We start from the raw sequence: 27275 nt of genomic DNA, 5'->3' as shown, positions 1-27275 counted from the left end.
GGAATGAAACTGTAAGCCGGACAAGGTGTGAGGAGGGGAGGTGATAAAAGGATTATAGGGTGGGGGAGCAGAGGCTGAGGAAGAATTGGGACCTGGCTCTGCCTGGTGAGGAGGGGAGAGGTCAGATGGGTCTGTAGAAAAGGAAGATTAGAAAGACTCAGTGATGCTTGGGGTTGGGACTGAGGGGACAGGTGGGAGGGAAAGAAGGAAGATTTGGGACTGGTTGCATTGGGAACAGAGACCAGGGAGGAACCGATGTGTAAAAGAATGCCTGGACGTCAGGCACCTCAGACCATTTGCCTAATTTATGACAAGAATTATTTAGATCTTGTAGGATGGAAAAATTAAAAGTGCCATTTTCTGGCTATTTGGAACTACTGTTGAGTTTGTATTGGGGTCAAGCAGCATTGCAGAAGAAAATAAGATGCTTAGATTTTAGGTCAGGTGAGAGTTGAAGAGGTTTTAAGTTCTTAAGAACACAGGCTAAGGGAGAAGGAGGAGGAATGGAGGGTGGAAGGTTGCCCATAGTGAAGGAAGCAAGCCCAGAGAAAAGAGAGTAGAGACACGGAGGGAAGGGGTTCGGGGGTTCTTACCCTCCAGAAAAGCAGGAAAGGGGTCGGGGCACAGAAATAAGGGGTTGGGGTGCAGAGATAAGAGGTCAGGGTGCGGAAATAAGGGATTGCGGTGTGGAAATAAGGGATCGGGGCACAGAGATAAGAGGTTGGGGTGCGGAAATAAGGGATCGGGGCGCAGAGATAAGAGGTCGGGGCATGGAAATAAGGGATCGGGGCTCAGAGATAAGGGGTCAGGGCGTGGAAATAAGGGATGGGGCACAGAGATAAGAGGTTGGGGCACAGAAATAAGGGATCGGGGGTTCTTGCCCCCAGAAAAGCAGAGAAGGGGTAGAGACACGGAGAGAAGGGGTTGGGGGGTTCTTGCCCCCTAGAAAAGTGGTACTTGCAGCTAAGGGTGAAGGAGAAGGGGTTGGGGGGGTTCTTGCCCTCTAGAAAAGCAGAGGAGTAGAGACATGGAGAGAAGGGGTTGGGGGGTTCTTGCCCCCTAGAAAAGCAGTACTTGCTGCTAAGGGTGAAGGACCAAGGCAGGTGTCCCCATGTGGTCAGACACCTCTGAAACATGGGTGAAAAATCAGAGAGGTGTCCCTGCAATGATTAAACACCAAGGGAAGGCTGCCTTCCTTAGTCCGTGACTGGCGCCAGAGTTTTGGGTCCAAGGATAAAATGTGTCTCCTTTGTCTCTACCAGAAAATGAAAGGAATTGAAAGTAAGAGAGGGAGAGATTGAAGGGTGGCGCCAAGATTGAAAGGAGAAAGTGGTTGAGGGATAGTGAGAGAGGTTGGAGAAGAGAGTAAGAAGAGGCCGCTTACCCGATTTAAAATTGGCGAGATGTTCCTTGGGCTGGTGGGTCTGAGGACCCGAGGTCGTAGGTGGATCTTTTTCACAGAGCAAAGAGCAGGAGGACAGGGGATTGATCTCCCAAGGGAGGTCCTCCAATCTGAGTCACAGCACCAAATTTCATGCGCGTCTGTGTGAAGAGACCACCAAACAGGCTTTGTGTGAGCAACAAGGCTGTTTATTTCACCTAGGTGCAGGCGGGCTGAGTCCGAAAAGAGAGTCAGCCAAGGGAGATAGGGGTGGGGCCGTTTTATAAGATTTGGGTAGGTAAAGGAAAATTACAGTCAAAGGGGGGTTGTTCTCTGGCGGGCAGGGGGGGCGGTCACAAGGTGCTCAGTAGGGGAGCTTTTGAGCCAGGATGAGCCAGGAGAAGGAATTTCACAAGATAATGTCATCAGTTAAGGCAGGAACAGGCCACTTTCATTTCTTTTGTGGTGGAATGTCATCAGTTAAGGCAGGAACCGGCCATCTGGATGTGTACATGCAGGTCACAGGGGATATGATGGCTTAGCTTGGGCTCAGAGGCCTGGCAAGTATAATGTGGCATTTCTGGAAATCAGACTCCCCACCCCGACCCCAAGCTTTGTTGTTGCTATTTGTCATTGTTGTTTGCTTGTGTCGTGACTTTACTAATTGTGTAAATTGTGTATTTTTTTTTGTTGTGTGTGGCCACTGAAGTGTCTGCTTGGCTAGCTTAGCCAAAGACTAGACAGAGGTTTCATTAAGTGATTGCACCCAATGAGTCTACCAGTCTTTGCTGGAGGGGTATATACATAAATTTTTCTGGAACTATTTTAGAGTCACTTGCTGGCATACAGGACAACATAGGCTCCCAACCACTGTGGAGCACCAAAGACAAACCAGAGCAGCTGCACATCCTCAGCAGCTCCCAAATTCCAAAATCTTGGGGGATGGAACCATCTCTCCTGGAGTCTCACCTCTGCACAGTGAGGCCCTGGTGGCTACTGTCCTGACTTCTGGTGATTATTTTGCACTGGAGTCTCTCTTTGTTTTAGTCAGTAGAATCTCTAATGCCCACTTTCACTTTCTGGTTTAAATACAGGCTAAAGGTTCCCCACTGCTCCCCCAGCCCCAAACTCTGTTTCATCCCAGCACCTACCTTGGGCCCACCTTCAATCCTCATTCCTGCTCCTATTACTTTCTTTTTCACCCCAGATTAAGGCTTCTGGGGTATCCTTTCCTAGGACGCAGAATGAGGTATAGTCTGTCACCCCAATTGAAGCTCAACATTTGTTGAGAATTTCTAGTTTTTACTCTGTAATTCAGAGATCTTAGGAAGAATTTTGTCTTCCATCTCCCAACCTTGTTCAGTACAGCCTGGCCTCCCAGGACTATGTGCCATTTTCTATTCTTCCTAGAGAATTTCCTATAAGCAATAATATTTGGAACCAACTAGAGCACTGCTTTTGAAAGAGGCTCATGTAGCACTAGTGGGTCCTGGCCTAGAGGATCCAAGAGCTTTTGGTGCCGATGCAGCCTCAGGGCAAATAACAGACACATCTCAGCTAAGGAACAATCATAGATTCTTACAGCCCTCAAGGTACTTATGGGTCAAAGCAGCAAGGGTCTAAGGAAGAATTGATTGGGCACCCAAGAAGCTTCCATATGAGGGGCCCCCCGCCAAGTTTCAGAATGACCTAGGGAAGGGTCTGAGGCATAGCCTGAGAAAGAGTCCCAAAGGTAACCTATCAAGGTGTTCAGAAAGCTACTCAGTAGGGGTTTTGGGGGCTGATTCATCAGAGGAGACCAAAAAAAATGACTTGTTGAGTCACTCAAGGAATGGGTCAGGAAATGACATAAATGCATTCAAGAGAGAACCTAGACTGGAAGCAACTGGAAAACACCCTGAAAGTTCACTTGGGCAGGTGGCCTATATATGTGTGTTGTTCATAGCTTGCTGACAGTGATATATTGCTCCCTTCTGGGAAGTCCTATAGCTACTTGAAAACTGGAAATTTGGCACCCTCAGTGCAGGAACACTGCCTAAATACCTCTTGGAAGCTTTCCTTTCTTGATGCAGGTGCTACACAGGCACTAGAAGCCTAAGTGGTATGGTTTTGAGCATGGCAGAGATAGAGTTTACCTCTTTAAAGTCTCTGAATCTGTAAAACTTAAGGTGATAGAGACCCAATCATGGCTCCTTTCCCAAGTCCACCTTTATCCCTCAGCCACCCATGTTTCAGGGATGGCTAAATTGAGGTTGCTTAGTTCCTTGAAACAAACAGGCAGGTCGGGAGATAAGCTGATCACAAGAAATTCAACCCCCACCCTGGAAGTCCTTTCCCTGCCTCCTCAACTGTGAGCAAGGAAGTCCAGAGGACCCTGAGTTCAAGGAGGAGAGCAAACAAACTTTTTAGCTCCTTTTGCCCTCTCCATGGACAAGTCGTGTCAGAGTGGGACTATTTGAGGGCCAAGAGAGGCAGTCCAGAGTTACTTCAAGTTAGACAAAGGCAGGACACACCCAACAGATGAGAGTGGAGTTGTATCCCAACAGACTCTGGCCATGGAGGAGCATTGTCTGGAGGCAGAAGGGGCTCACCACAGAGCATAGCATCTTCTTGGAGTTTTTTCTTTAGGAAAAGGATATGGGAGATTAGGTATTTCTTTAAGAGCCGAAGAAGACAGGGAGGTAGGAAGTCCAAAGAGACTTCAGTTCCTAAGCCACAACAGGAAGATGTCCAGGAGATAAATGCCTATCTGAGTAGTCAAGGAGCTCCGGTGACTAAGGAATACTCCCCAACCAAGAATACTGGTTGCCCAAGATCCAGGATGGCCAAGCCTTAAGGGGATATTACTGTCATACAAGATGAGCAAATGATTGTCATAGTACTGTCATTACAAAATCACACACACATACACACACACCCCTACTATAAAAACATTCAAGGGCTTATCAATGTGAGAAAACCCGATAAAGACCCCAACCCCTCAGGACCAGATTGAACTAGTCTCTCCCACAGCTCTTTTACTATCTTGACTTTTCTACAGCTCTGTGCATGCATGCCTGTCTCTAGGGATGGTTACACAGGCATCACAATAGCAGAAATTCCTCATGCAGTCTCTAAGAAGGGTAAGGTTCAAATTGCAGGTAAGGTTGCAGTCAGCCTTAGGACTTTCTCATTGAAGTGTCCCTTGCCTCAGATAGCCTTGCTTCTAGGCTCTCAAAATCCTATTCCCGGCTGGGCGCGGTGGCTCACATCTGTAATCCCAGCACTTTGGGAGGCCAAGGGTCACCTGAGGTCAGGAGTTCAAGACCAGCCTGGCCAACATGGTGAAAACCCGTCTCTACTAAAAAATACAAAAATTAGCCAGGTGTGATGGTGGGCGCCTATAATCCCAGCTACTTAGGAGGCTGAGGCCAGAGAATCGCTTGAACCTGGGAGGCGGAGGTTGCGATGAGCCGAGATCATGCCATTGCACTCCAGTCTGGGCAACAAGAGTGAACTCTGTCTAAAAAAAAAAAAATCCTATCCCCAGAGTGTGCTCAGCAGGACATGATAATTTCCCAGGTCTTGTGTGTCTACACAGAGGCCAAAGGGAGCAGTTTGGCCCAGCAGACCAGAATCCCAAATCTTCAGGCCTCAGGAAAAATCCTGGACAAGAATTTAGCCACAAGTCAAGAGAGAGGCTACCCTAGGAGCCCCAAAGGAGGAGAGCATTGAGTAGGGGATGTAGGGTGCGGGCATCTCCCTGCTCAGGCCAGGGGATTAGCAGATACCCTTGTAAGCAAGACCCCCTGGTTTCTGCACATTTTCTCCTTTCGAACGGGGTACAAAAGTACCTCAGGTGAAAGGATGAGGAGGTTTTTTTCAGTGTCTTTATTGTGGGGAAAAAAGCCAATTAGTGTCAGCTTAAGCCTGGCCCAGCTAAAGGCAGTGCTGTCTGGATAGTACTGGGGACACTGGCACTCAGGAGGGCATGACTGTCATGGGCCTGATCCTGGAGAAGATGTGGGATTCATGCTCAAAGTCAGCCCCAGGAGGATGTCCAGGGCTAGGCAGAGCCCGCAGATGGGCATTTCTTCAACTATAGGGCTCCTTCTACCCAGACCGCAGGAAAGGGACAAGTGCCCCCTCATGCAGCCACCACTCAGGTCCTGAGGGCCAGAGTTGTCTCTGTAGACACAGGCAGGTCAGAGGCCAGGACAGACATCCCTAGATAACTGAGATTTGAGGATTTGCAGCTGTGTTCAGTGCTTCTCAGGGAGCCTGTGTCCATAGCCAGGCCTCACCAGCGTGGGCCAAGGAGGCCAGGTACCTCTGGCTACCCTCTCCAATGTCCAGGCTCTGTCTTTTACTGCTAGCCACCATGAATATTATATAGTACTATAAGTGTTTAACTGTACATAGCACATATGAAAGCACTTTTCACAGCTATTGTTCATAGAACATGCTTATAAGCCAGAACCATAAAACCTTAATTATAATACATCAACTCCATACTTCCAAAGAACATACCTTCCCACAGGAATATCGACCAGTACTTTTCATCGTACATTCAGTCGTTCATCGTACATAGCACATTACAGTCAAATAAATCCTCGTCACCACAGATATCCCCCCCCAGATAGTGGTTTCTCGCTCACCATCCTCCGTGAAATCAATATCCTGCACAAGAGTGCTACTCTCCTCACTCCGGGCCCAAACACTTGGGGGTAGCTCTTCTAGTCAGCCAGAAAGTCCTTCAGCCTCGCCAGGAGCAGTGGCTCATGTTTGTAATCCCAGCACTTTGGGAGGCCAAGGCAGGCGGATCACTTGAGGTCAAGAGTTTGAGACCAGCCTGGGCAACATGGTGAAACCCTGTCTCTACCAAAAATACAAAAATTAGCCGGGTGTGGTGGTGCATGCCGGTAATCCCAGCTACTCGGAGGCTGAGGCAGGAGAGTCGCTTGAACCTAGGAGACAGAGGCTGCAGTGAACCAAGATCGCATCACTGCACTCCAGCCTGGGCGACAGAGCAAGACTCCGTGTCAAAAAAAAAAAAAAAAAAAAAAAGTTCTCCACCCCCTCCTAGAAAAAAATTTTCTCCTAGAAGGAAAATTTGTCTGACTCAGAGAAAATTTAGACAAGAAGAGAAAATCTGTTTTCATGCTAGCACATCTGAAGACAATGGTCTCTGTCTCTCATGAGCAGGGATATTTTTCCTTCCCAAATAGATGTTTCTTCTAATAGCTGAGTGGTACTTTCTGTCTGTGCTGTGTTTGAAGTATAAGTTTTAGAAATCCCAGGAGGCTTCGAGGAAGGCAGAGGTCAGCTTCAGCTTATACTGAGGGCCTGCTTGGGCTTCTCAAAGGTGACCAGAGCCCGGGAGGGAGGATGACAGTGGCCCTCCTCAGCCACCCCCATCCCAGGTTTGTTGCTCCTGCTCAGATGCCATATTTTTAAAATACTTTATTTTTTACATAATACTGTCATTACAAAAAAATACAAAAAAACTACTATAAAAACATTCGGGGGTTGTCAAAGTGAGAAAACCTAAAGACCCCACCCCAGGATCTGGCTGAAGCAGTCTTCCCCCAGCTTCTTCACTATGACCTTTATACAACTATGGGGGTGGGGTGGGATCACACAGGCATAAAAGGGCTGGAAATTCCCCACACAGCCTCCAAGGGTAAGAAATGAGTAGCTTCACATATCACAAAAGTGGGATTTGGAAGTTTGGGGGTGGCTAGGCCCTGAGTTCAGAGGTGTGGGGAAAAACCTGTGACCCTGAATCTCTTGGTGGGGAATAGCTGCCACCTGACCCCAAAGCCCTTTCCCTTCCTGATGAAGGCTGGTAGATGGGCCCTGTCCCCCACCTCTTAGCCTTAATACCTCAGGCCCCATTCCCTGCCCTCCACCCTTGAACACTCCTGAGAGCAGCAGGGAGGACAGAACCTCCAGCTCTGCAGGTGTAGGCAGGGCAGCTGTTACGGAGGCTGCTGAGGAGCTCACCCCCCTGCTCCAGATGAAAAGTGTCTCGTGCTCAAGTCCCTGTTCACAGGTTGTGAACTTTCCCTTCTTATCCTCTCTCCTTTCTCCCAGAGAGGCACAGACAGCTCTAGGTGAGTGCTTCTTGTGCATGAATATGTGTGCCATTACCTTGGACACTGTGGACCTGGGGGTGGGGCTGAGAAAGCAATGTCCTTTCTAGTCTTTTCCACCCCCAACAGCAGGAAGCCAAAGGGAAGGGAGGGGACTGGTATTAGCAAAGCTGAGGGGAGGAGGACATGCTATGTACAGGCATGGATAAGGAATCTCTACATATCTTCAAGTAGCACTCAGGTCACTCTCCAGCCACTGCAGTGGAAACTGGATTGAAAGCTAGTGACATGAACATTGACCCCTGGCCTGGGCTAGCTCTCCCCACCTCCCTCCCACTCCCCCCAGGCAGCCCAGCTCTAAAAGGGGTCAGGGACAGGAACATTTTCCTGAAAACCAGTGGCTTTTTTTTGCATTTTAGAAAAAGTTGCCAGTGTCCAGTGGACATCAAGCTGGGTGCACATTGAGTGGAGTGAGTGTTGGGGGTATTGCTGTGGTAGGCTCTGGACTGGCTGGGGCAGAGCCTAGGAACAGGGTAGGTGCTGCTTAAGGATCTGTCTTGTCTGTGGTGTTAATCTGTCTGGGAAGCGAACTTTGAACTCAACAATGAGGTCTCCTCGCTGAGTTGGCACTTTGGGGAAGGGAAGGCCCTCCCCACGGAGTCTCTTCACGGTGCCTGGCTTGATGACATCATTGCAGGGCAAAGGGATCACTCGGCCGTCGATAGTGGGAATGTTCACAGTGCAGCCACACAGCGCCTGGGAAAGACGAAGCAGAAAGTGAGGAAAAGGTGGGGTAAGGTGAGTGGGAAGGAAGGAAATAGACTGAGGTGGGGAAAGAATGTGCCAGCTGGCGGGAAGAGAGGGAATGTCCCCACCATCTCCCCAGCACACACACACAGCCTGACTAGGCCCCACCTCCTTGAGGCTGATCAGGGCACTGTAGAGCACGTTGGTGCCATCTCGGCGGAAGTGTGCATGGGGCTTGTCTTTGAGCACAAAGACGATGTCAGCAGGGATGTTGTCAGGTGTGGCGTCGCCTTCTTTGGGGAAGGTGATCTTGGTGCCTTCCTTCCAGCCACGCTTGATGACTATGTGCAGGATCTTGTCCTCGGTGCGCACAGTTCGCCCATCAGGGTTGAGGCGACGCCTTGTGATCTTCATGCGCTTGGTGGAGCCATGGTAGATCTCCTCCAGGGACACCCGCAGCTCGTGCACCACTGGGGGGTCCTGCACCTTGCGCCGAGGGTACAGTGGTTCTGGGGCTCGCCTTGGACCCCTACTCAGCCCATTGAAGCCAAAACGGCCGAAAGCGCCAAATGGGTCCTCATCTTCATCCACATCCATGTCATCTGGGTCAAAGCCACTGAAGGGCCGAGTGGAGCGGCTGCTGGCAAAGAAGATATCGAAGGGGTTGGAGCCACCAAAGAAGGAGGCAAAGGTGGCATGGGGGTCCCCATGAAAGGTGTAGTGAAAGGAGCCACTGGAGCCACCTGATGTGCCACCGCCGGTCTTCAGGCCTAGAGGGGAGGAGAAGTTAGGGGCAGTGTGGCTTATTCTGGCCCCAATCCCAGTGTCTTCCCCCTGCCCTCTAGCTCCCAGTTCACAGGCTTAAAGAAAGAAGCAACCTTTAAATCCCACAGAGAGGGCCAGGCTAATAGAGTAAGAAAGGCTTCTGGCAAGATTATCTTCCATTCCTAATTATATATTTAATAACGATGCACAACTTGAGATTCAAAGAGGCTTGCTTACCCAATAGGTGGAAAAGCCAGGACTAGAGGACTTAGAGGATGTGACTTCCAGTCCTGTAATCTTTTCCACATACTCATGGTCCAAAGATGTCTCAAAAAGCCTTGAATGACTAGCCTGGTGTCACATTACAAGTGATACTTGGTTCCCAAATCTTTGCTTATCTCCAAAGACATATAGGACAAGGGGCCATCAGACAGGATGTGACCACAGAGGGGGCTGGTAAGTGAACAGTCGCAAATAGGCTAGGGATCCAACCCGGGAGGAAGACCACTTTCACTCTGCTTCTAGCAGTGTTTCCTCTTTCCCTGGCCCCTGCTCAAACGGGAAATCAGGAAGCCTTAAAAAGTGGGAAAGCTCATTAGCTTGGAGATGAAGAGCTATTTTTCTAGAAAAAGTTTTTAAATGCTTTGTTCCCACACTCTGCTCGGTGTTACACAACTTTAGGGAGTGTCATTCACACATTGTACAGACATAGACTACAATGGGAATGGAGCTCCCTGGAGTTATACAACAGCAAACGCCATACCCCACACCTAATGTTGAGCAACCAAAATGCATGAATGGGCTGGCACATGGCAGTGGTGACCTTAGCTGCTCTCTCTGTCAGGTCCTGTCTAAGGGGCTCAGATTCCTGGAGGCAGCCTTCATGCACAGGAGGGGGTGCTGGCAGTAGTGGGGGATGTGGGGAGACGGTTCACACTGAGAACTGCTCCGGAATACAGAGACTATGGGTGGGGTCCAGGCTAGGAAAGAGACCCTTCTCTTTGAGGCCATTTATCTAGAATTTCAACTGATCATGGAGATCTGAGCCTAAATTAGCCTCTTATTTCCTGGGACCACAAGGGCAGATTTGAGTTTCACTAGAGAGGCCAAGTGGCAGACGGTTCAGGGACTTGTGGCAGCTGCCTCTTCACCCCTCCCCCAAGACCTAGGATCTCTCCTTTCCTTCTATCGAGGGGCTGATTATCAAGCGAGTTCAAGCAGCCTGGCAGAGCTCAGTGAGAGAGGGAGGGAGGCTGGACTGATGATGATGGGAAGGGGTAATTCTCTCTATAGGGATTTCTATTCTTCCACTACCACCCCCTTTTCAAGCTGGGAGCAACTTGTCCCTAGCTGGAGCTGCACACAGAGTCTGTGTGTATAACTGCTCTATAATAAATGGCTGCTGGGGATTGGGCAGGGTGGACAGAAATATAACCAACATTTCTAAGCTGCTTCTCCCTCCCCAGGCCATGGAGGTCCCCTTAAGGCCATGCCGCATCCTCAGGGGCCTTCCTGGGATGGGGTTCTGCATCAGAACCTGGTGTCTGGACCCCTTCACTTAGGCAGAAGGGGTGAAGTATCTCAAGGGAGCTCTCCCAGCTCCTGCCTTCTTTCTAAACAAAGGTGAGGCTGAATGGAGGAATGGGTGCAATTCCAAGACAGGTCACATGGTGGCATGGTGTCTGCACTGCTTCCCTCTTTTCCACTCCTATCCCTCCCATCCCTCCATGCCAGAGAGAAAAATGTCTTAGCTGAAAGAATACTGGGGGTTCCAGCCGGTATCTGGTGAATCTGGGAGTTGGCACGTCTAGGAGGTAGGCAGGAAGAATGGAAGGAACCGGCAGCATGGAGAATAGGAAAAGGGAGTTGGGAGGATGAGGGTTCACAGAGGGGCATGGAACACAAGGCCAGGAGGAGGGGAAGAAAATAACCTTCTTATCTACATATGATTAGCCCATTTAGTTTTGAGGATAGAAAGGGGAGGGTGAAGAGGAGGAGAATGTGAAAGAAAGGTGGATTCTGTTGGGGAGGAAGGACAGTTCTTCCCAGGAAGGAGAGTCCTCAGCGTGACAATGTCTCTTAATATAGCCTGACAGGTGCCTGTGGCTGGCGGGTGGCAGGCAGCCCTGAGGGGCAGGCCCAGAATTAGCAGCTACATCATGGCCGTGGGATGTGCTGGGAGGGGCCTCCCTCTCAGAGGCTTTATTTGGGCCTTTCCTGCCTCCCACCCCATGGCCACCAGCTACCCCAGGGAAGGGGGAAGATGCCAGCAGCAGTTCCCCGTCCACCCTTGGATCCCTGCCACTTCCTCTGGGAGGCAAAGCTCCACCTCTGTTCTGCTGGCCAGAAGCAGGCAGGGCCGGGGGAGAGAAGGGGAAAACCATTTCTGCTCAGAGCTCTGGTAGTTAATTCCCAGGCTGCTTAAGGGCCAGACTTTTATGCTGATGAATGTAAATGCTCTGTCCTCAGAGAGCCACACACTCCCTCTCCCCAACCTTCCTCATCAGCCAATGAAGCAGCGGAGACTTCAGGCAGGACTAATAAGGCTGGGAAGGAAAGAAGGGCGGGGAAGGCCTCTGGCTCTTGCTTCAGACCTCTCTAAGGCCTGAACCCGAGGAGGGAGGGGGCAGAGAGAGGCGGGGAGAACTAGGGTGAGCTGAGCTGGGTAGTGGGTGGGCTTCTCTCTTCTCTGGGTGACAGTGCTGGAAACCCTTGCTGCCCTCACCCCCTCCACAGCCTCCAGTTCCCCGCTACACAAACTGGTGCACCTGGGACCCCTACCAAGCGGAGGGGTCCGGGATTGGGCTGGAGTGCTGCCCTCTTACCTTCCTCCCCATACTGGTCATACAGGCCCCGTTTCTTGGGGTCACTTAGCACATCATAGGCCTCTGCAATCTCCTTAAACTTCTCCTCAGCGTTGGGTTCTTTATTCTTGTCTGGGTGGTACTTCAAGGCCATCTTCCGGTAGGCTTTCTTGATCTCATCCTCGTTGGCCCCCGATGGGATCCCAAGAATCTTGTAATAATCTTTTCCCATCACAGCCACTGGACCAGCACTGGTCTCCTTGTTTCTGAAAGAAACCCAGGGCCAAGACTTGATGCCTTCTCTTCTGCCCCAGCCCTGTTCCTGATGATCTTGCAATCCCTAAATGACTCCCTGGGTAACCTTCAGCAGGTCATGCCTGTTCTGTGGGCCTGCGTCCCCCCATCTGTAAAATGAAAGGTTTGGACTAGATGATCTCTTCTGGCTCTGACATTCTAGAATTCTGTGATTCCGTCCTCACCTCCTGGGTTTTCCCAGCAGGAAGCTGAAGGTTGTGGCCCACTCTTGGGGCTAGGCTGAGGCCCTGGTCCTTGGGCCAGACTGAGGACCCCTGAGAGGCCCTGCTGAGCGAGGTGGCACCATGGACTGAGCGACCCACACACAGGAGCTGGCGAAGGTCAGTGTAACGGGTGAGGTCACCTGAGCATCGTGGTCTCCTACGCCACGCCTCAGGCATGGTGCCCAGGCTGAGGGCAGCTGGGGCAGTGGCCCAGGACCGGGAACAGGCCTGGGTCTTCCGCCAGCTGTCCTGGCCAGCCAGACTGAGTCAGGGAATGGGTGTCTGGAGTCCTGTCTGCCATCGGAGACCCCAGGCCTCCCCGCCCCCACCCCTCTGACGATGCTAAGCCTCACGTGTGACTCAGATCACAGGGTGACTCACAGCCTTTGGAAACTGCTGTTTCCAACTCCCTCATTAGCAGGGGGGGCGACACTATCCTTCCCCCAACCAGGGCAACAGTTCCCTTTACTCATTTGCCAGCGTCTACACACAAAACTGTGAGGGCTGTGCCGCCTAAGCACCAGTGTGAGTGAACAAAAGCATCCTGGGGACAGGACTTTTTCAACCCCAGCTGTTAGGAGACAATTGGGCACTAACCAACCACCATTTCCTTAATACCTCTCCTAGCCTCACCCTACGCCCCCAGTCCACCCTGTGGTTTAGGATCCGGCCCATCATCAGACCCATATTCCTCTGAGTCCCTTTTAAGGTGGGTGCAGGAGCATTTGTTATAAGAGAAACGTACAACCCGAATTCTTCCATTCCAGTCTCCCTCTATCGGTGTGTCTGTGGTGGATATCAGGGGAAGGGGGACTTTCCTGTAGCTAGAGCTCTCTGGGGGATGGCCAGAAGCCATTCTCAGCCCTTCTGAGACTTGGCCAACCCCTGCCAAAGCCAGGAGAACCAGAGTCTTTCTAGCAATGTCCTAGGCTGGCAGCCACAGCTGAGACCTGCCTTTCTGCCTCTGACTGCTTCACAGCAGGGAGGTGTACAGGGTGTCCTTCCAGGAGTGAGGCCTGTAACCGGGTAAGGGGGAGGCGCCCAAGGCCCTAGGTGGGCAGGGACAATGGCCCTCACTGCTGCCCCCACAGGCCCTGCTGCAGGTGGCTGGGTTGACTCATGGTTCTGGGAGTCACCTTTCTCTGACGAAGAAAAGGCTCCACAAAGGCGGGTACTCCCCCATTGCCCCCCACCAGCATGTCACGTCTGTGGGGGAGATGGGGTGGGGGGTGGGGTTGGGAGAGGCAGAGAAGAAAGAGCACCTCGTTGGGGGGGGGGGCAACCGTTTTCGGAAATGGCAGCAAAAGCCGTCTGAGAGGGAGCGGGGGGGGGTGGTCTGCCATTTCTGCCTCAACCCACACCTTCTTTCCCCTGGGACTGGGAAAGAACCCTAGCACACCAAGAGGGTGCCCCTAGAGAACGAGAGCAGCTTCCAGGCAGAGGGCCAGTGGAACGGCTCACCAACCACCCACCTCCTTTTGGTGTCCCTGCATTACCTCCACACCCGGCCAGCTTCCTCCCTGGTACCCACCTGCTAGCTGCTCTAGGCCCATACATCTCTTGCCTCCGCAGACACAGGGCAAGCTCTTTCAGGATCTGCCTCCTTTTTCTCTTTCTGCTTTCCTCCCTCCTTCCCTTCCCCCCTACCCACAGGCCACGTGTTGGAATGACAAAGGAGCCCCATGGCATGGCACTGCCTTTGATGGAGAAGAATGAGGAGGATGTTAAGGTAGAGGCAGGAAGGAAAAATGGGGAGAAAATGGCGAGGGGGACTGTTGAGGTACAGGGAGGGGAGATGGCTGATACAGAAAATGAGGTACTGATGGAGGGGGATGAGTGACAGATGGAAATGGCTGAGGTGGAAAATGGGTTAATGATGGGTTGAAAGGGAGGAATGTGGAGAGTTGAAATAATGGAGGAAATGTCTGTGGAAAATGGATACCTGAAGGGTTTGAGAAAAGGAATGATAAGGGGTGCAATTCATTCAAATATGTGGGTGAGGCCGGAGGGGGGTTCCTGTATGTCACAGAGGGGATGAGGATGAGTTGGAGGAAGCAGGAAGGCAATGGAGGGGATGGCCGCGTGGAGGGTTTGACTGGGTATGGGTGTGAGTGCCCTTCTCCGGAGGGACTTACCGAAACTTTACAAACCCATTCAGCGTCCACGCTCGAAGTTTTAAGGGCTCCAGCTGAATTTTAAACATCAAGCTGGCTAAGAAGTCTTCTCCCCAGGAGTGTGGGAAGCTCCGGAAAGCTCCTCGGGCCTGCAGTGGGGGTGCTGCTGGGGGTGGGCAGGAGAGCACTGTGCGCTTAAACATGCCCAGCCAAGCCCCTCACCTCTGATCGCTCCACCGGAGCCGGCCTGAAGTGCTGCAGCTCTGGAAGCCACCTCCTTGGACTCTCAGAGGCGCGTGCCCAGCAAGGCCTGTCTGGCGCAGCAGGTGCCGGACCTGATCCCCAAATGTGGAGAGTGAAGGGAGAAGACCCGCGGCCACCTGCTCTCAGGTGCAGCAGTGTCTGGCTGGCTGTGAGCGGCTGTATGGCAGCGTGTCAGTGAGGCTGGGAGTGCAAGCGTGTGTTTGTGAGTGGCAGCGTGTATACCTGTGACAGGTGTGATTGTGAGGGCCCGAGAGGCAGTGAGCTCCTGTCGCCTCTCACTGGGGAGGACCCGACCCCAATCCCCAAGAACCTACTCAATGAAGTCACTGACGGGAGTCTCCTCCCTCGCAGATGGGCGGGGCAGAGCGGAGCTCGGCCGGGACAAAAGGCGCGGCGAGGAGAGGAGGGGAGGGGGCTCGGGCGGGGGAGGGTGGTCGGTGATGTCACCCGCGCTGGCTGGCTGGTCTGCTCACAGATGCCTCCGCCCCACAGAACCCAATCTGGTCCGGTCCGACTCGACCCTCCCCTCCCCTCCCCTCCCCGACTCAGACGCTGGCTGCCCCCTGTGACAGCCAAGCCCTGGTCTAGGACTCCGAGCACCCTGCAGACCCCGGGGCCCCGCATCCCCAAGGCAGCAGAGCCTACGGGCCCTCAGTGTCCCAACCCCCCAACACCAGGAGCCCTGGCTTCACGACGCCCCGCTCCCGGGACCCCCGAGTCCTGGCTTGGCGCCCTCACCGGTGAGGAGCTGCGGGCGCCGCCGTGGTCCGTGAGACAGCCGCTGCCCCCTCCCCCGGCTCCGGCTCCGCCGCCTCCACCCGGGACAGGAGTCGCCTGCCCGCCGGCCGCCGATAGCGGGACCGGGAGCCCGCCCCCACGGCTCCGCCTCCGCGCCGCCCATTGAACCGTCTTCCTGTCACTCAGCTCAGCCTCCACTGTGATTGGGCAGTTTTCAACAAGCGGCTTGGTGATAGCCGCCCATCCTCCGCCCCTGTCACCCGGCCACACGCGCACACATTCCAGGCAGTGATTGGTGTGGATCTGATTGGCGCCCTCTGGGATCACTCAACCACGCCTCTTTGCCATCTTGTCGTGCCATTGGTGAAAAAGACAGAGGGCGGCAACCTCGCTCGCCCTTTGATTTTATTGGTTCGTGCCTGAGACTCAGACCCGAGCCCGGGGGCAAACTATATTAGTCCAATCTCCGGGTTGAGAAGGTGGGACGTACTGGCCACTGCTCGAATCCCAGGAGAACCTTCTGGAACCCTTGCGACGTCAAAGGCAGCCTTAAAGGAAAACTGTACCCACCAGTTGGCCGTGCGGCCGTGCATTCTTTCCTTTCTTCATTGGGGGGCAAGAGGGAGAGAACAGTGCACTCTGGGAGGTGTAGTCCCTGGACCGGGGCCAAAAGGTCAGCACTTCTTACTCGCCTTTCAGCCAACGGTGTAACCACCTCAAGCTGACCTCATTTAGCTTTACCTTATCCTGACCCCGCGGTGGCCTGATGTGACCTAACGGAATCTCTAACAGACCCCACGGATGCCGGGTTTCAGAGCCCCCCGGACCTCTCCCCCGAGGGAAACGGATGGCTCTGCCCAGGCCGGTGCCTCCAGGAATCTCCCCCGCCCACCCTCTGTACAGCCCCTCATCCTCGCGCCCCTCTTCAGCGACCCCGCGGTCTCCATTTCAGTCCCTCTTCTAATCAGTCTCTCATCCTGCTTCCCCCTGGAGTGCCTGTGTTTTAGCCCTTTCCTTCTTGGCCCTAGATGATCTCCTGTCTTCCTTCCCGCAGTGATCCCTTTTGTCTTATTCTTGGTTCTTTCTTTACACCCCGATCTCCTATCCTAGCTCTCCCCTTTCATCTTTCATCTCACTCCCCAAGATCCCCTTCCTTAACACCCTCAGAATCTCTAGTCTCCCCCACCCCCCATTAAGTCATTAGATCTCAGCCCCAGTGTCCCCGATGCAGGGAGCAGGCGGGGCTGCGGAGGCGGTCGCCAGCGGAAGCCGCCACTCCAGCAGACACGGTGCCTGGCGCCCACGTCACTGTCTCCCAGGCCCATCTGTGCTCGAGGGAGCGGGGGTGGGGAGGGAGTAATTTGGGGGTGAAGTGGGGGAGGGGAGTGCTGGGGGGTTGATGATGATAGAAGGGTCAGGCCGGAAGCTCCCCTTTACTTCTTTCTTTCCTATTTTCCAGAGACAGAGTTTGGACACCCATGAGGTCTTGCTAGAAACTGCAGCTTGAGTACCTGGGCCAAGAGCAGAGCAAGGCGGGGGGGGGGTGCCAGGGTCCTGGAGTCATGTCTGTAGATTCTTCACTACCTACCTTCATGCCAGGAGTCACTATGGGGCTCCCAAGGGTAAAGGGGCATGAGGTGTGAAGGAAGAAAGAGACTTGGGGTGAAAGGAGGATGGAAAGGAAGTGGGGTTGGGGGCCAGGAGGGGAGCAGAGATGGGTGATGAATGTGGGGAAATGAGCATGAGGAATTTGAGGAAATGGGGTTGAGGGGGGGAGGTAGGGAGAGGGGGTGGTGAGAGGATGGTGAGATGGGGTGAGGGGGATGAGGAGGGGAGGGGCATGGGGCAGATGAGCCATAGGGTGGGAGTAAGGAGGGCAGAGGAAAGGAGGGCTGGGGAGGGGAGGGAAGGCAGGGTGGGGGATAAGGAAAGAAGGGCTGGGGAGGGGCAGGAAGGCAGGGTGAGGGATGAGGAAAGAAGGGGTGAGTAATGAAAGGATGAGGCACAGAGATGGGGTGAGGAGGAGTGAGGAAGGGGGAGGGGAGGGAGGAGGGATGGACATCTCTGTGTGACACAGAGATGGGTAAGGTGGGGTGAGGGGCCCTGCACCGCTGCTGGCTCCTCAGATCTGGGGGCTCTCACTCTTCCACCTCCACACCTGTGGGGCCCAGGCTGTGGGTGGCTCTACTTCTTCCTATTCCAGTTCTGTCTCTTTTGCCTCCCCCAGCCTTGCCTGTGCCAACACGGAGGCAGAGAGTTTAGTCACCAGCCTTTACCTGGCCCCTGCTAATGCTAAAGTGTAGGCTCGGACCTTTGAGGGTGCAGAACTGTGCCTTCAGGTGTTGGTGGCACAGACTCCACTGTTTGCCTAGTCCTCGGTTCCCGCCCTCAGTCCCATTGTCCTGGGTGTCACGTGTGTGTAGTGCTCAGTGTGGCATGGACTGTGACAGTGTGGTCTGGAGTCTATGCACCTTGTGAGCTTACACGCCACACTCATGCCTCATCTCCTTTGTAAATGGGGATTGGTGCCTCAGGGGGTTGTTGAGAGGGTTAATTAAGGTAACACAGGTAGTGCACTTAGTTCTGAGCTGGGCATGTAGTTTATACCCAACCAATGGTTAACTTGGTTAACTCAACCAAGTTAACCATTACTCTACATGTTCACAGATGCTGGGAGTGCGAGTGCATCTATAAATCTGTGAGTCTGGGAGTTATTTGTAGTGTGGTACTGGTAATGTGATTTGTGAGTGGATCTGTGCAGTTATTTTTGTGTGGTGGTGTGCCTGATTCTGTTATATGTTGTAGGTATATGATTTTGGGTCAGTGTACATGTGTGAGTAAATGACTGTGCGGGCATGTGTCTACATGACAAAGAGTGGATAAGGTATATAGGCACTGACACATTGACACCATGTCTGCCAGCGTATGCACGCATCTGCGATCATGCCAGTCCCAAACGCCCCCACTCACCCTCCCTCCCCTTGGAGACGTCATAACCCTAGGTGTCCCTCATTTCCTCACCCTGAGGGAACCGGAACCCGTGGGCAGGGGTGGGGGTGGGTGCCAGTGAGGAGGTGTTTTAGACAGAGGCACATGTTCCCTCCCAGACTGTATAGGGAAGGGAGCCCCTATCCTGCTCACATCCCGAAGGCTGCAGAGGAAGTGCCCCCAGCCTGTTTTCAGTTCCCTGTCTTGTCACCATGGTAATGGTTGCCAGGGGTTCCCATGGTTGCTAAGATCTGGGTGTGGGAGGCTGCCAGGCCCTGTTGCCAGTAGAAACAGAGAATCCTGGGGGGAAGGAAGACTACCCTCACAGCTGCCACCTCCCTGCAGTGACAGAACTGGCCCTTGGGCCACTTCTCTCCCCCAGTTGTACCTATGAGTTGTATGTGGTAGTACTAGTGTGTGTGTGGGAGCAGGAGCGGGGGCTTTAACAGGAAACCAGAACTAGAATACTGGGATACTAGAATACTGAGGAACAGGGGGCTACTTGGCCTACCCATCACCATCCTTAAAGTTGGGAGGGCCTTACGAATTAGTGACTACCTGCCATCTCTACTAAAATACAAAAAAAATTAGCCAGGTGTTGTGGCACATGCCTGTAATCTCAGCTACTCAGGAGGCTGAGGCAAAAGAATCGCTTGAACCCAGAAGGCAGAGGTTGCAGTGAGCCGAGATCGCGCCACTGCACTCCAGCCTGGGTGACAGAGTGAGACGAGACTCCCTGTCAAAAAAAAAAAAAAAAGAAAAGAAAAGAAAAGAAAAAAAAGAAATGAGTGACTATCTCCTGCTGTCCCCTGTCCCTCATATCTCTCCCCTGGGCAGTCTCCATGTTTGTTCTTGAGTTCTCCAGTGCCTGGGTACTCATTACCTGATGCTTTCTCCTGGGTGTAGGAATGCCACGTTGACCCATCACCTTGGCTGCAGATGGCCTCCCTCCTGTGATCAGACTCTGAGCATCTCACCTGATACATGCTTCATGCTGACACTCAGGCCCAGACTTTGGTCCCACACTGAGTCCCAACTTTGACCTCAGCCTGAGACACAACCTGGTTATTGTCCTGGTAGAGACAGTTCCCCGAATCCAGCCTCTGCCCAAACCCTCCTCCTAGACATGGCTGAGCCCTAATTTTGATACAAAATACTTGAATTCATCTTCAGATTCAGTTCTGATCCTATACTGAACTAACTGAACACTACCAGGGATCTGACTCCCTGATATTCGCTGGCGTCTCCCTGCGTGTTCTGAACCTATGCTGACCAGCACCAGAAGGGTTCAGAGGGGTGATTTCTTGCCTTGGGATGAGAGAGCAATGTTAGGGATGACCAGCAGAGGGCGTGCAACATCAGGTTCTAGAGGCAAGCGTCCAAGAGCCCACCTGTGAGCTAAAAAAATTAAAGTTCTCGTTTTTGACACCAAAACTTTGGGGTTATGTGGGTTCTTACAGTCATGAATCTTCTCCTTCTGGCTCACCTGGGCTCAGCACTGGGTATGCACAGAATGTGCTTAACTGTTTACTGGCATCTCAGGTCTCAAGAGGACTGAAGTCACCCCACCCCCAAATCAGCATTTCTGTCACATGCTTAATACAGCTCCACTGCCTTCCTGGTAACCAGTTATGTTTGGTCCTATTGAGCAGAAATCTGCCTCTCCACAGTGTTCACATTTCATCTTAGCCCTGTCCTTGGGACCACACTGACCTCATTGGTCCATCTGCCAAACATCACCATCTGCATCCTTCAAATCTGCTTCTCTCCAGGACCCATGCCTTCATGGACTCATCCCCTGCCTTTCTCAATTCTACTCACTAAGATCATGTTTCCCTGAATGGGTTTCAGTTTGTGGTGCCCAGTTATGATTAGCTTTTTCCAGGAGAGCTGGTGCAGGGTACGAATGAGCCGGCCTGCCTCCCTCCTCTGACTCTGAACTTCTTTCCACATAGGCTCAGATTACATCAGTTTTTTCTGTGGTTGTTGTTTTGTTTTTCTTTTGAGATGGAGTCTCGCCCTGTTGCCTAGGCTGGAGTGCAATGGTGTGATCTCGGCTCACTGCAACCTTTGCCTCCTGGGTTCAAGCAATTCTTCTGCCTCAGCCTCCTGAGTAGCTGGAACTACAGGTGTGCACCACCACACCTGGCTAATTTTTGCATTTTTAGTAGAGACAGGGTTTCGCCATGTTGGCCAGGCTGGTCTTGAACTCCTGACCTCAGGAGATCCACCTGCTTCGGCCTCCCTAAGTGCTGGGATTACAGGCGTGAGCCATCGCACCTGGCCCATCAGTTTATTTTTTGGTAGCCACCTCATACTGTTCACCCATACCGAGTTAAGGCCATAAGCTCTTTTCTCCCTGAGCTGCTAAATCACCTCTTGTTCATGTGTACGTGTTATAATTTTGAATGGAGAGCTGTATTCATTTTAAACAAAGATACTTGAAATAAAATAAATTTGTTGGCAATACATTCTCAATTTTAGGACAATCTTTGGGCTTGGAAATCTCTGTACTTGATGGTTACTCAAAGGTGGGACAAGGAGGGACTGAAGGTCCTCAGCTGGCTTGGCTATGACTTCAGCACTTTGGACAGAGGCAATCACAGTACCCACCCCACCCCGACCCAGCTATGCCTGGGACTGTGTGAGTGTGGAGATGATACACTCACAGCCTTCAGATGGAGCAGAAATCCTTGCTACTTACTCAGTGCCTTACAATCTGTAAAGCTCTCTCCTCTTATACAAAACTCTTTCCTCAATTAACCAGCCCAGGAGGCTTACAGGACAGGGACTGTCCTACAGATTTTACAGTCGAGGAAACTGAGGTTCAACAAAGTCAACCTCCAAGCAACCCTTAGAAAGGGTGGGGTGGGAGAGAGCACTACTCCATGTTTAGCAAATTTAGCAGCCATTGATTCTCTTAAGGAATGACTCTCCCCAGGGATAAAGAGGAAATGAATTTGAACCAGAGCAGGACAAGGTGGGTGGAGGTTTGTGTAGAACCAAGACCCCGGCCAGTCCTGGGAACAAGTGGCAGTTGGTGGGAGGAACAGTCCTCAGAGGGTCTAAAGTTCCAGCCAGGACTGCTGAACTGAGGGCAGGGAAACCTTATTCATTCGGGCCCACAGACACCCAGCCTTTTTATGCCCTTTTTCTGTCCCAATGCTTAGCTTCACTGAGCCTGGAGACAAGGACAAAGGGCTGGTGGGATGTCATTAATCTGCTCTCAGTCTGGTGGACCCCATGGGAAGAATTCAGGGAGGAGAGGTGTGGGAGCCTGGTGAGCGGATGGAGTGAATTGTGCAGTGGTAAGAAATCCGTGCCATGGATACAGGCCTGGTTACCTGTCTGTGTCTATTCCCAGGGTGGGGAGGGGAGGTGCTGGCTCACACAGCAGTGGTTCCTTTGAGATGTGCTTTGACAGGAAGCACAACAAAGTGGCTAAGAACATGTCCTCTGAAGGCAAACTGCCTGGTTCCCCTACTTCCTGTGTGGTTGTGTAACCTTGAGAAACATGGACTCTCTGTTCCTCATTTTTCTCACCTGTAATAAAAATCTCATAGGATTATTGTGAAGATTAGTGACTCTATGCAAAGCACTGCCAAGTGCATAGTAAGTGCTCAAAAAATGTTAAAGACGACTTGTACTTGGGACCCTCTCTGGTTTTGGAGGTAGAGTATCGGCCTTTGATCCACAGCCTAGAGATGCTGTCTCACCTACAGGTACTGACTCTGTTCTCACCAGATAAAAGGGAGGAATGGGGATCCCATAGTCCCCCAAATGGCATCTCCAATCTTAGCTTTCCCAACCCTATCATATTACATTAAAGCAATTTGTCAAAATGGGGAGGAAACACTCAGACCAGGAGAAAACAGCCAATGAGTTTCCTTACTTTTAGCTCAGGAGGAACTGGGAAGTGTCTAAAACTGGCCCTGGGGCATGGCACAGGAGAGGGACAACACAGAGCAGACAGCCTTGGAGACCTTATGACCTCATCCTCAATTTCTTTGAAAGCTCTGGCTCTCCACTTCAGTGCTCCTGTTTCTGCTCTGTATCTGTGCTGGATACAGAAATATCAGTATCTCTGTATCTGTATGTGTGGTGCCCCTACCTCTACCCATCTCTTGATTTTTGGGAAGGTCAGGGCCAGGAGAACTCTAGAAAGAGTCACAGCATGTTGTGTCCTTCCTGGCAGCTGCAGCTGCCCCGGTCTTATGCTCAGACCCAGGAATTGATCAACAATGGGAAACCACACAGAAATGGCAGGTTCCCCAAACAACAAGAAACAGGAAGCCGACAGAGCATCGCAATCGCTTTATTATGATTTCCACTGTGCCCAGCCTCAGGGCATCAGCTTCTTCTGGAGCGCTGTGAAGGCTGGGCCACGCAGAGGAGCATGCAGCTGTAGAGACAGGGAGACAGGGCTTGGGGACGTTCCCCTCAGCTTGCTGTCAAGTTACCTTCTGCAGAAAAGCACATGGGAAGGGCATGAGGGACCAGAGCGCATTGGATTCCCAAGTGTTGCTCAAGTGTTCTCAGAGTCCCTCTCACAAACTTGGGTTTGGCTGGGGGACAGATCACAGGCCAACCCATGATGGCAGGAGGCTAATCTTGAGGGCCTTTGTGTCACCATGGCTATGAAAAGGCCTGGCTACTTATAACTTGATGTTCTTAACTGTGGGTTGTGCCTACCCAGTGCTATAGAAACTGGAATGTGATTGGGCTTCTTAGTCACTGGCCCAGACCAGAGCTGACCCCCTTTCCATGCTCTGGGTCACTGGGGCATGTGGCCCAGAGGAAAAAGCTTTCCCTTAGTGCTAGCCGAAATTCTGTAACCTGTTTATTTTCTTTCCAAGGTTGCCAAAAATAGTGGTAGCAGAAAAGTAACAGCAGAGAAAATGCCCAGTCCCACCCTACACCAGGGCTGAGCTGTCAGGAACAGGCACGATGCGTGAATATCCCCCACTCCAGGAGATCTCGCCATTGTCTGGGTTGCAGCCAGGGGCCCAGACAGATATCCTGGGCAAATTCAAACTAAGTGGTAGGAGAAAGTAGCATTTTTTCAGATAAGAGCTTGAAATAAGGAAAATTAAAAAAAAAAAAAAAAGAAAATAGGAATTTTATTTCACTGTAAATAGAGGAGGGGTAAAAAGGGACTGTGGTGACAGTCCTGAAGTTCTGGCATCAAAACTGTTCTGCCTTTTAGGGCCACACATCTGTCTGTCTTCACTCTGCTGGTCTGAAGGGAACATGCTTTCAGGATCACTAGAGCCAGCTACCAGTTCTCAGTCCTGCTTGAAGTTTCTCTTGGCTCTGGGGTGGGCCTGGCTGGCCTGGGGCCTTGCCAGGCAGCTTCTGCTGACCTTCCCTCTTGGCTTTTGGGCTTCCTGGCACCACTCTGACTGAAGCTGTGAAACCTGCAATGGCCGAGGTTGTGCTTTGGGCTATGAGTCCTGGGTATAACCTTGGGGCTCACTCCCCCAAGGAGGTGTCCTCTTCCCAGGCAGTTTAATGCTGTGTTTTTCATAATGGTGACAGGAATAAGGGGACCCTAAGACTTGGCCACTTAAGCAAGGTCAGGGTGACATCCCATAGGGAGCAGCAGGACCAGAAAGGCTGGTATCTGCCCTGCTAGCCCCAGGTACTTGGGCTGAGGGCAGAAAGAGGCAATGTCCTCATGGTTTCTACTGTAGGTGTCCTCAAATGAAGAGGAGCACTTGAAGGTTAGATCAGTACCTAGAGTGAGGGGACTGCTCCATCCCTGGGATACTCTAGGGGCCCTTGCTCAAGTGTTCTGTTGGGGAAGGCTGGGCTCAGGAGAGGAAGCCAAGGAGCAGACTTGGAGTGGTTTTGTGGCCAGGGCCACTGCTCAGCTGACCCTCGGTCCCTGCAGCTCCACCACATCCTCCAGCTGCCCCTTCATTCACATCTGAACATGAGGAAGAGGAATGCTAGGTGAAAAATGCTTAGGGCAAGTGGGCTTCAGAGGAGCCTGTCTATAACCCAGGCCTTCCTTGGTTAGAAACACTGATCTCAATTTTGGGTAGCCACAAAGAAAAGACTGAAACATTTTCTCATACCCTTATTAGAGCCAAACGCTAATATTTGTACTTGGCAGAATTTCAGAGTCACAGTGATGGGAGGGCTTGAAAACGAAATGGGCTTCACTGGGTTTCTGAACGTTTTTAACAACTCTATACATACCGCAGAGGGGCTCTGGGGATTAGAACACTGCAAAGGGAGATTCTGGACGGGGGTTGGGGCAGGGCGTCTGCAACTCTGGACTTGGGGAGCAACGGCACTTCCCCTTTGGTAAAAAGCTAGATGACTGCCTGTGGAGAAGAGGCTGGCTGCTCCTTCGTGCTTTCCTGCTTCCTAGGACTCTTGTGGGATGGGAACTCTACTCTTTGCTGAGGGAAGTGTCCCCTGGGATCTCTGTAGCAGGCCCTCACCCAGGAAGTTTGCTGTTCTGGAATAGGGAGAAGCGTGATCCAAATGGGCCTGTTCCTGTTGTGGAAGAACTCTGGGGCTGCTTTGCCAGGCCCTGGAATACGGCAGGCCTGACCTGGCCCACCAACTCTCCTCACTCACCCGTGGAGAGCTAGAGGCAGCAGCTCCAAAGAGGTAGGCATCACCTTGATCTGTGAAGGATCAGGGAACAAGATGGACTTCCAGTCCCTGTGACTGATGAGGCAGGAGAAAAATGCTATTCAGCTCTCAAAGCCCAGAGCTTGTCTCTACTCAAAATGCCCCGTCTGTGAGATCGAGCAGCCCAAGGCCAGTGGCACAGGAGATGATTTGCCAGGAGAGTAGGTAAGAGCCCCTGTGCTTAATGTGCTTTCATCTCAGTGCAAAACCCCAGGCCTGGCTGCTTCAGATGCAGTTCTTAGGCCCAGGAGTCCTGCGCTTTCTTGTTTTGACTAGACTGAATAATGGCCCCTCCTATGGATCAATCCTGGGGGACGGCTGAAGAGCATTTCTAAAAGCTGTGGGCCATACACCTGAGCCCAGATTTGTCTCCTGTCTGCTTCATTTCAGTCCCAAATAATCCAACCCCAGCAGCTCACCACCCTGCTTCCAGCTAAGGTGGTTCCTACAGGAGGAGACTACACAGGGCTCTCAAGAAGCCCCTGGCCGCAGCTCCTTGCTTTCCTCGAAACATTCAGCACCGAGCGGTGTGTGTTCTTCTGTACGCACCCGATTTAGCACAAGGGCCTCGAGCAATGAAGACGTGTTTGCTTCTGCATGACTGCACTCCACTCCCTTTTGAATAACTCTTGGTAGTCAGATCTCGCTATGCCTAAGTCATTAAGTTGGAAACAGAAGCCTAGAACATGGACCCCACGGCCGGCCAAGATGAGCCATAACACACGGACTGAAGAATTTGAATTTGATGAGTACTTAGGAAGGAGGGCTGGGGCTTGGAGGCCAGGCTTGGTGCTCTTGTGGCAGCCTCTGATTGCCCCAAAAGGCCTTCCATGCCAGGCCCAAGCCCTAGCCTGCTGGGGAAGGACATGTGATGAGCAGTGAGGAGAAGCAGCCACTCAAGCCGAGTCTCAGTGATAGGGAGAAGCGGAAAACTTCTTCTGTAAGGCTTTCCCAGGACCTTCTCTGCAGAGCCTCTTCTTAAGCCCCAGCCTCTTATCCTGTTTGTCAGGATGGCTGAAAGAGTCCCTGCTCAGGGCTCTGCAGATCTTTCTTGGGCTGTGGAAGGTGTCTACAGTTGAGTTGAGCTGGAATGATGAGGAAGCAGAGCCCCGTTCTCTCCTCTTCCTCCAGAGTGTGCTCTCGTCAGTCTCTGTGGTCGGTGACTTGGGTGAAGCATCTAACACAGAGGGCTGTGGCTCCTGCCAGTGTGTTTGCTCCATTCAGGCCCCCTTGGCCCTAGGCCATGAGCTACCATCTGAAAAATGGGGCCAAGAAGGCTCACCTTGATTTTTGACTACCCTGCTAAAGACTTTTGGACTCAGGTGACCTGACTGAGAGGTTCCTAGAATCCCGAGTCCCTGGGAAGGGCTGCCTCCCCCTCTTCCAGTCAGGATTCTCCAGGCTAGTTGCCTTTTCTGTCACCAGGAATTGGAATTTAAATAAATAAAGGGCTGAATTTCAGTGGTGATGTTTAACTCTTTTCCCAACTCAGTACAGCCGAGGTACATAATGCACACCTACTAGTAACAGCAGCTGACTGCAGAAGGGATTTTTGGTGGAGAAAGCGGGGCCCATTAGGATCTCCAGGAGCTCTAGGCAGGCATGCGAGTCTGACATGCCCCCTTCCTAAGAATCACTTGGCCAGAGACTTATCTATTGGAAATTAGAACTGGCCTGCCTATAGAAGGGGTGAGTAGAGACCCCCTCCTCTATACCAGGGGCTTCACAAAGGGACTTTGGTCCTTTCTCAACCAAAAAGAACCAGGCTTCTGAAGGCATGGACAGCTGGGCAGCATGTGCACATGTATATAAGTGTGGTGGCAGGTCCCGTCTATGATGTGGGGCAGGGGCGGTCCAGGAGAGGATGCTGCCACAGCTCCCAGGGCTTCTCCTTGTGGCAATGCATTCACTGCCTCTATTGTGAGGGGAATGGTGATTTCAGTGCCTTAAAGCTTAGTGACAAGTTAAGACGCTGGCAGTGTCCCAACCCCATGAGTCTCTGTGCCAGAGGTTGGTGGGGGAAGGGAGAAAGGAAAGGAGGGAGAGGATGTCACTGTCCTCAAACCGAGCTTCTCTGCTCCATGCTATCCTGGGGGCTTCAGGTGAATGGCTGCGCTGTTGGGGCGAGCAGCCAGGATGTAGAGGACATTCTCTTGCAGGAAGGTAGGCCAGTCCACAAATCTGGAGTGGAAGCAAAGAACAGAGTCGTGAGGCTGGTTTGAAGACACGTGAGC

The 27275-nt window shown here is 52.2% G+C and overlaps 2 protein-coding genes, 1 long non-coding RNA gene and 1 pseudogene across 24 annotated transcripts in view, besides 9 other annotated features; 2 read left to right on the top strand and 2 right to left on the bottom strand.

Annotated features, from left to right (window-relative positions):
• Positions 1413 to 1913: an enhancer, noted in NCBI's record as "OCT4-NANOG-H3K27ac-H3K4me1 hESC enhancer chr9:35003321-35003821 (GRCh37/hg19 assembly coordinates)". NCBI's record gives its function as "activates a minimal SCP1, AML or CMV promoter by ChIP-STARR-seq in primed H9 embryonic stem cells {active_cell/tissue: H9 hESC(primed)}" and the evidence as "EXISTENCE:reporter gene assay evidence [ECO:0000049][PMID:30033119]".
• On the top strand, positions 2243 to 3895 carry LOC100420114 (SPATA31 subfamily D member 1 pseudogene; annotated as a pseudogene).
• Positions 6337 to 15492, bottom strand: DNAJB5 (DnaJ heat shock protein family (Hsp40) member B5). 7 transcript variants are annotated; one of them, NM_001349724.2, is made up of 5 exons: positions 15406 to 15492; positions 14626 to 14738; positions 11793 to 12037; positions 8371 to 8972; positions 6337 to 8211 (listed from the first exon to the last, which is right to left on the bottom strand). In NM_001349724.2, exons 3-5 carry the CDS (start codon positions 12001 to 12003, stop codon positions 7978 to 7980), a joined length of 1047 nt encoding a protein of 348 aa, NP_001336653.1. In that variant the 5' UTR covers positions 12004 to 12037; positions 14626 to 14738; positions 15406 to 15492; the 3' UTR covers positions 6337 to 7977. The 7 variants fall into 7 exon arrangements, with proteins under 7 accessions (NP_001336653.1, XP_047279116.1, NP_036398.3 ...); XM_047423160.1 differs by lacking the exons at positions 14626 to 14738; positions 15406 to 15492 and adding exons at positions 14425 to 14566; positions 14890 to 14947; NM_001349723.3 differs by having other exon boundaries at positions 6809 to 8211; positions 14425 to 14738.
• Positions 9728 to 10657: an enhancer, noted in NCBI's record as "H3K27ac-H3K4me1 hESC enhancer chr9:34994577-34995506 (GRCh37/hg19 assembly coordinates)". NCBI's record gives its function as "activates a minimal SCP1, AML or CMV promoter by ChIP-STARR-seq in naive H9 embryonic stem cells {active_cell/tissue: H9 hESC(naive)}" and the evidence as "EXISTENCE:reporter gene assay evidence [ECO:0000049][PMID:30033119]".
• Positions 11588 to 12517: an enhancer, noted in NCBI's record as "H3K27ac-H3K4me1 hESC enhancer chr9:34992717-34993646 (GRCh37/hg19 assembly coordinates)". NCBI's record gives its function as "activates a minimal SCP1, AML or CMV promoter by ChIP-STARR-seq in naive and primed H9 embryonic stem cells {active_cell/tissue: H9 hESC(naive and primed)}" and the evidence as "EXISTENCE:reporter gene assay evidence [ECO:0000049][PMID:30033119]".
• Positions 12491 to 12785: an enhancer, noted in NCBI's record as "tiled region #8519; HepG2 Activating DNase unmatched - State 9:DNaseU, and K562 Activating DNase unmatched - State 5:Enh". NCBI's record gives its function as "activates a minimal TATA promoter and a strong SV40 promoter by Sharpr-MPRA in HepG2 and K562 cells {active_cell/tissue: HepG2 | K562}" and the evidence as "EXISTENCE:reporter gene assay evidence [ECO:0000049][PMID:27701403]".
• Positions 13448 to 14377: an enhancer, noted in NCBI's record as "H3K27ac-H3K4me1 hESC enhancer chr9:34990857-34991786 (GRCh37/hg19 assembly coordinates)". NCBI's record gives its function as "activates a minimal SCP1, AML or CMV promoter by ChIP-STARR-seq in naive H9 embryonic stem cells {active_cell/tissue: H9 hESC(naive)}" and the evidence as "EXISTENCE:reporter gene assay evidence [ECO:0000049][PMID:30033119]".
• Positions 14378 to 15307: an enhancer, noted in NCBI's record as "H3K27ac-H3K4me1 hESC enhancer chr9:34989927-34990856 (GRCh37/hg19 assembly coordinates)". NCBI's record gives its function as "activates a minimal SCP1, AML or CMV promoter by ChIP-STARR-seq in naive H9 embryonic stem cells {active_cell/tissue: H9 hESC(naive)}" and the evidence as "EXISTENCE:reporter gene assay evidence [ECO:0000049][PMID:30033119]".
• Positions 15252 to 15751: a silencer, noted in NCBI's record as "silent region_19858". NCBI's record gives its function as "represses an Ori minimal core promoter by ATAC-STARR-seq in GM12878 lymphoblastoid cells {active_cell/tissue: GM12878}" and the evidence as "EXISTENCE:reporter gene assay evidence [ECO:0000049][PMID:35858748]".
• Positions 15589 to 15737: a silencer, noted in NCBI's record as "fragment chr9:34989497-34989645 (GRCh37/hg19 assembly coordinates)". NCBI's record gives its function as "represses an EF-1alpha promoter that drives an FKBP-Casp9 reporter gene in an ReSE screen in phorbol 12-myristate 13-acetate-treated (for megakaryocytic differentiation) K562 erythroleukemia cells {active_cell/tissue: K562(+PMA)}" and the evidence as "EXISTENCE:reporter gene assay evidence [ECO:0000049][PMID:32094911]".
• Positions 15858 to 19827, top strand: DNAJB5-DT (DNAJB5 divergent transcript). The gene is made up of 2 exons (NR_109756.1): positions 15858 to 16078; positions 19300 to 19827. It is a non-coding gene; the product is annotated as a DNAJB5 divergent transcript (long non-coding RNA).
• Positions 15862 to 16071: an enhancer, noted in NCBI's record as "active region_28316". NCBI's record gives its function as "activates an Ori minimal core promoter by ATAC-STARR-seq in GM12878 lymphoblastoid cells {active_cell/tissue: GM12878}" and the evidence as "EXISTENCE:reporter gene assay evidence [ECO:0000049][PMID:35858748]".
• Positions 22693 to 27275, bottom strand: part of PHF24 (PHD finger protein 24) — a 316938-nt gene continuing 312355 nt past the window's right edge. For 14 of the 16 annotated variants that reach the window (XM_047423102.1, XM_047423103.1, XM_017014554.2 and 11 more), the window contains one exon: positions 22693 to 27222. In XM_047423102.1, coding sequence (XP_047279058.1) covers positions 27126 to 27222 — 97 coding nt within the window. In that variant the 3' untranslated portion in view covers positions 22693 to 27125. The remainder of the gene's footprint in view (positions 27223 to 27275) is intronic. The other 2 variants (NR_136307.2, NR_136308.2) reach the window with 1 other exon arrangement.

Source organism: Homo sapiens, chromosome 9 (genome assembly GCF_000001405.40).
Source record: "Homo sapiens chromosome 9, GRCh38.p14 Primary Assembly".
Lineage (NCBI taxonomy): Eukaryota > Metazoa > Chordata > Mammalia > Primates > Hominidae > Homo > Homo sapiens.
This window is presented reverse-complemented; position numbering and strand designations above follow the sequence as displayed.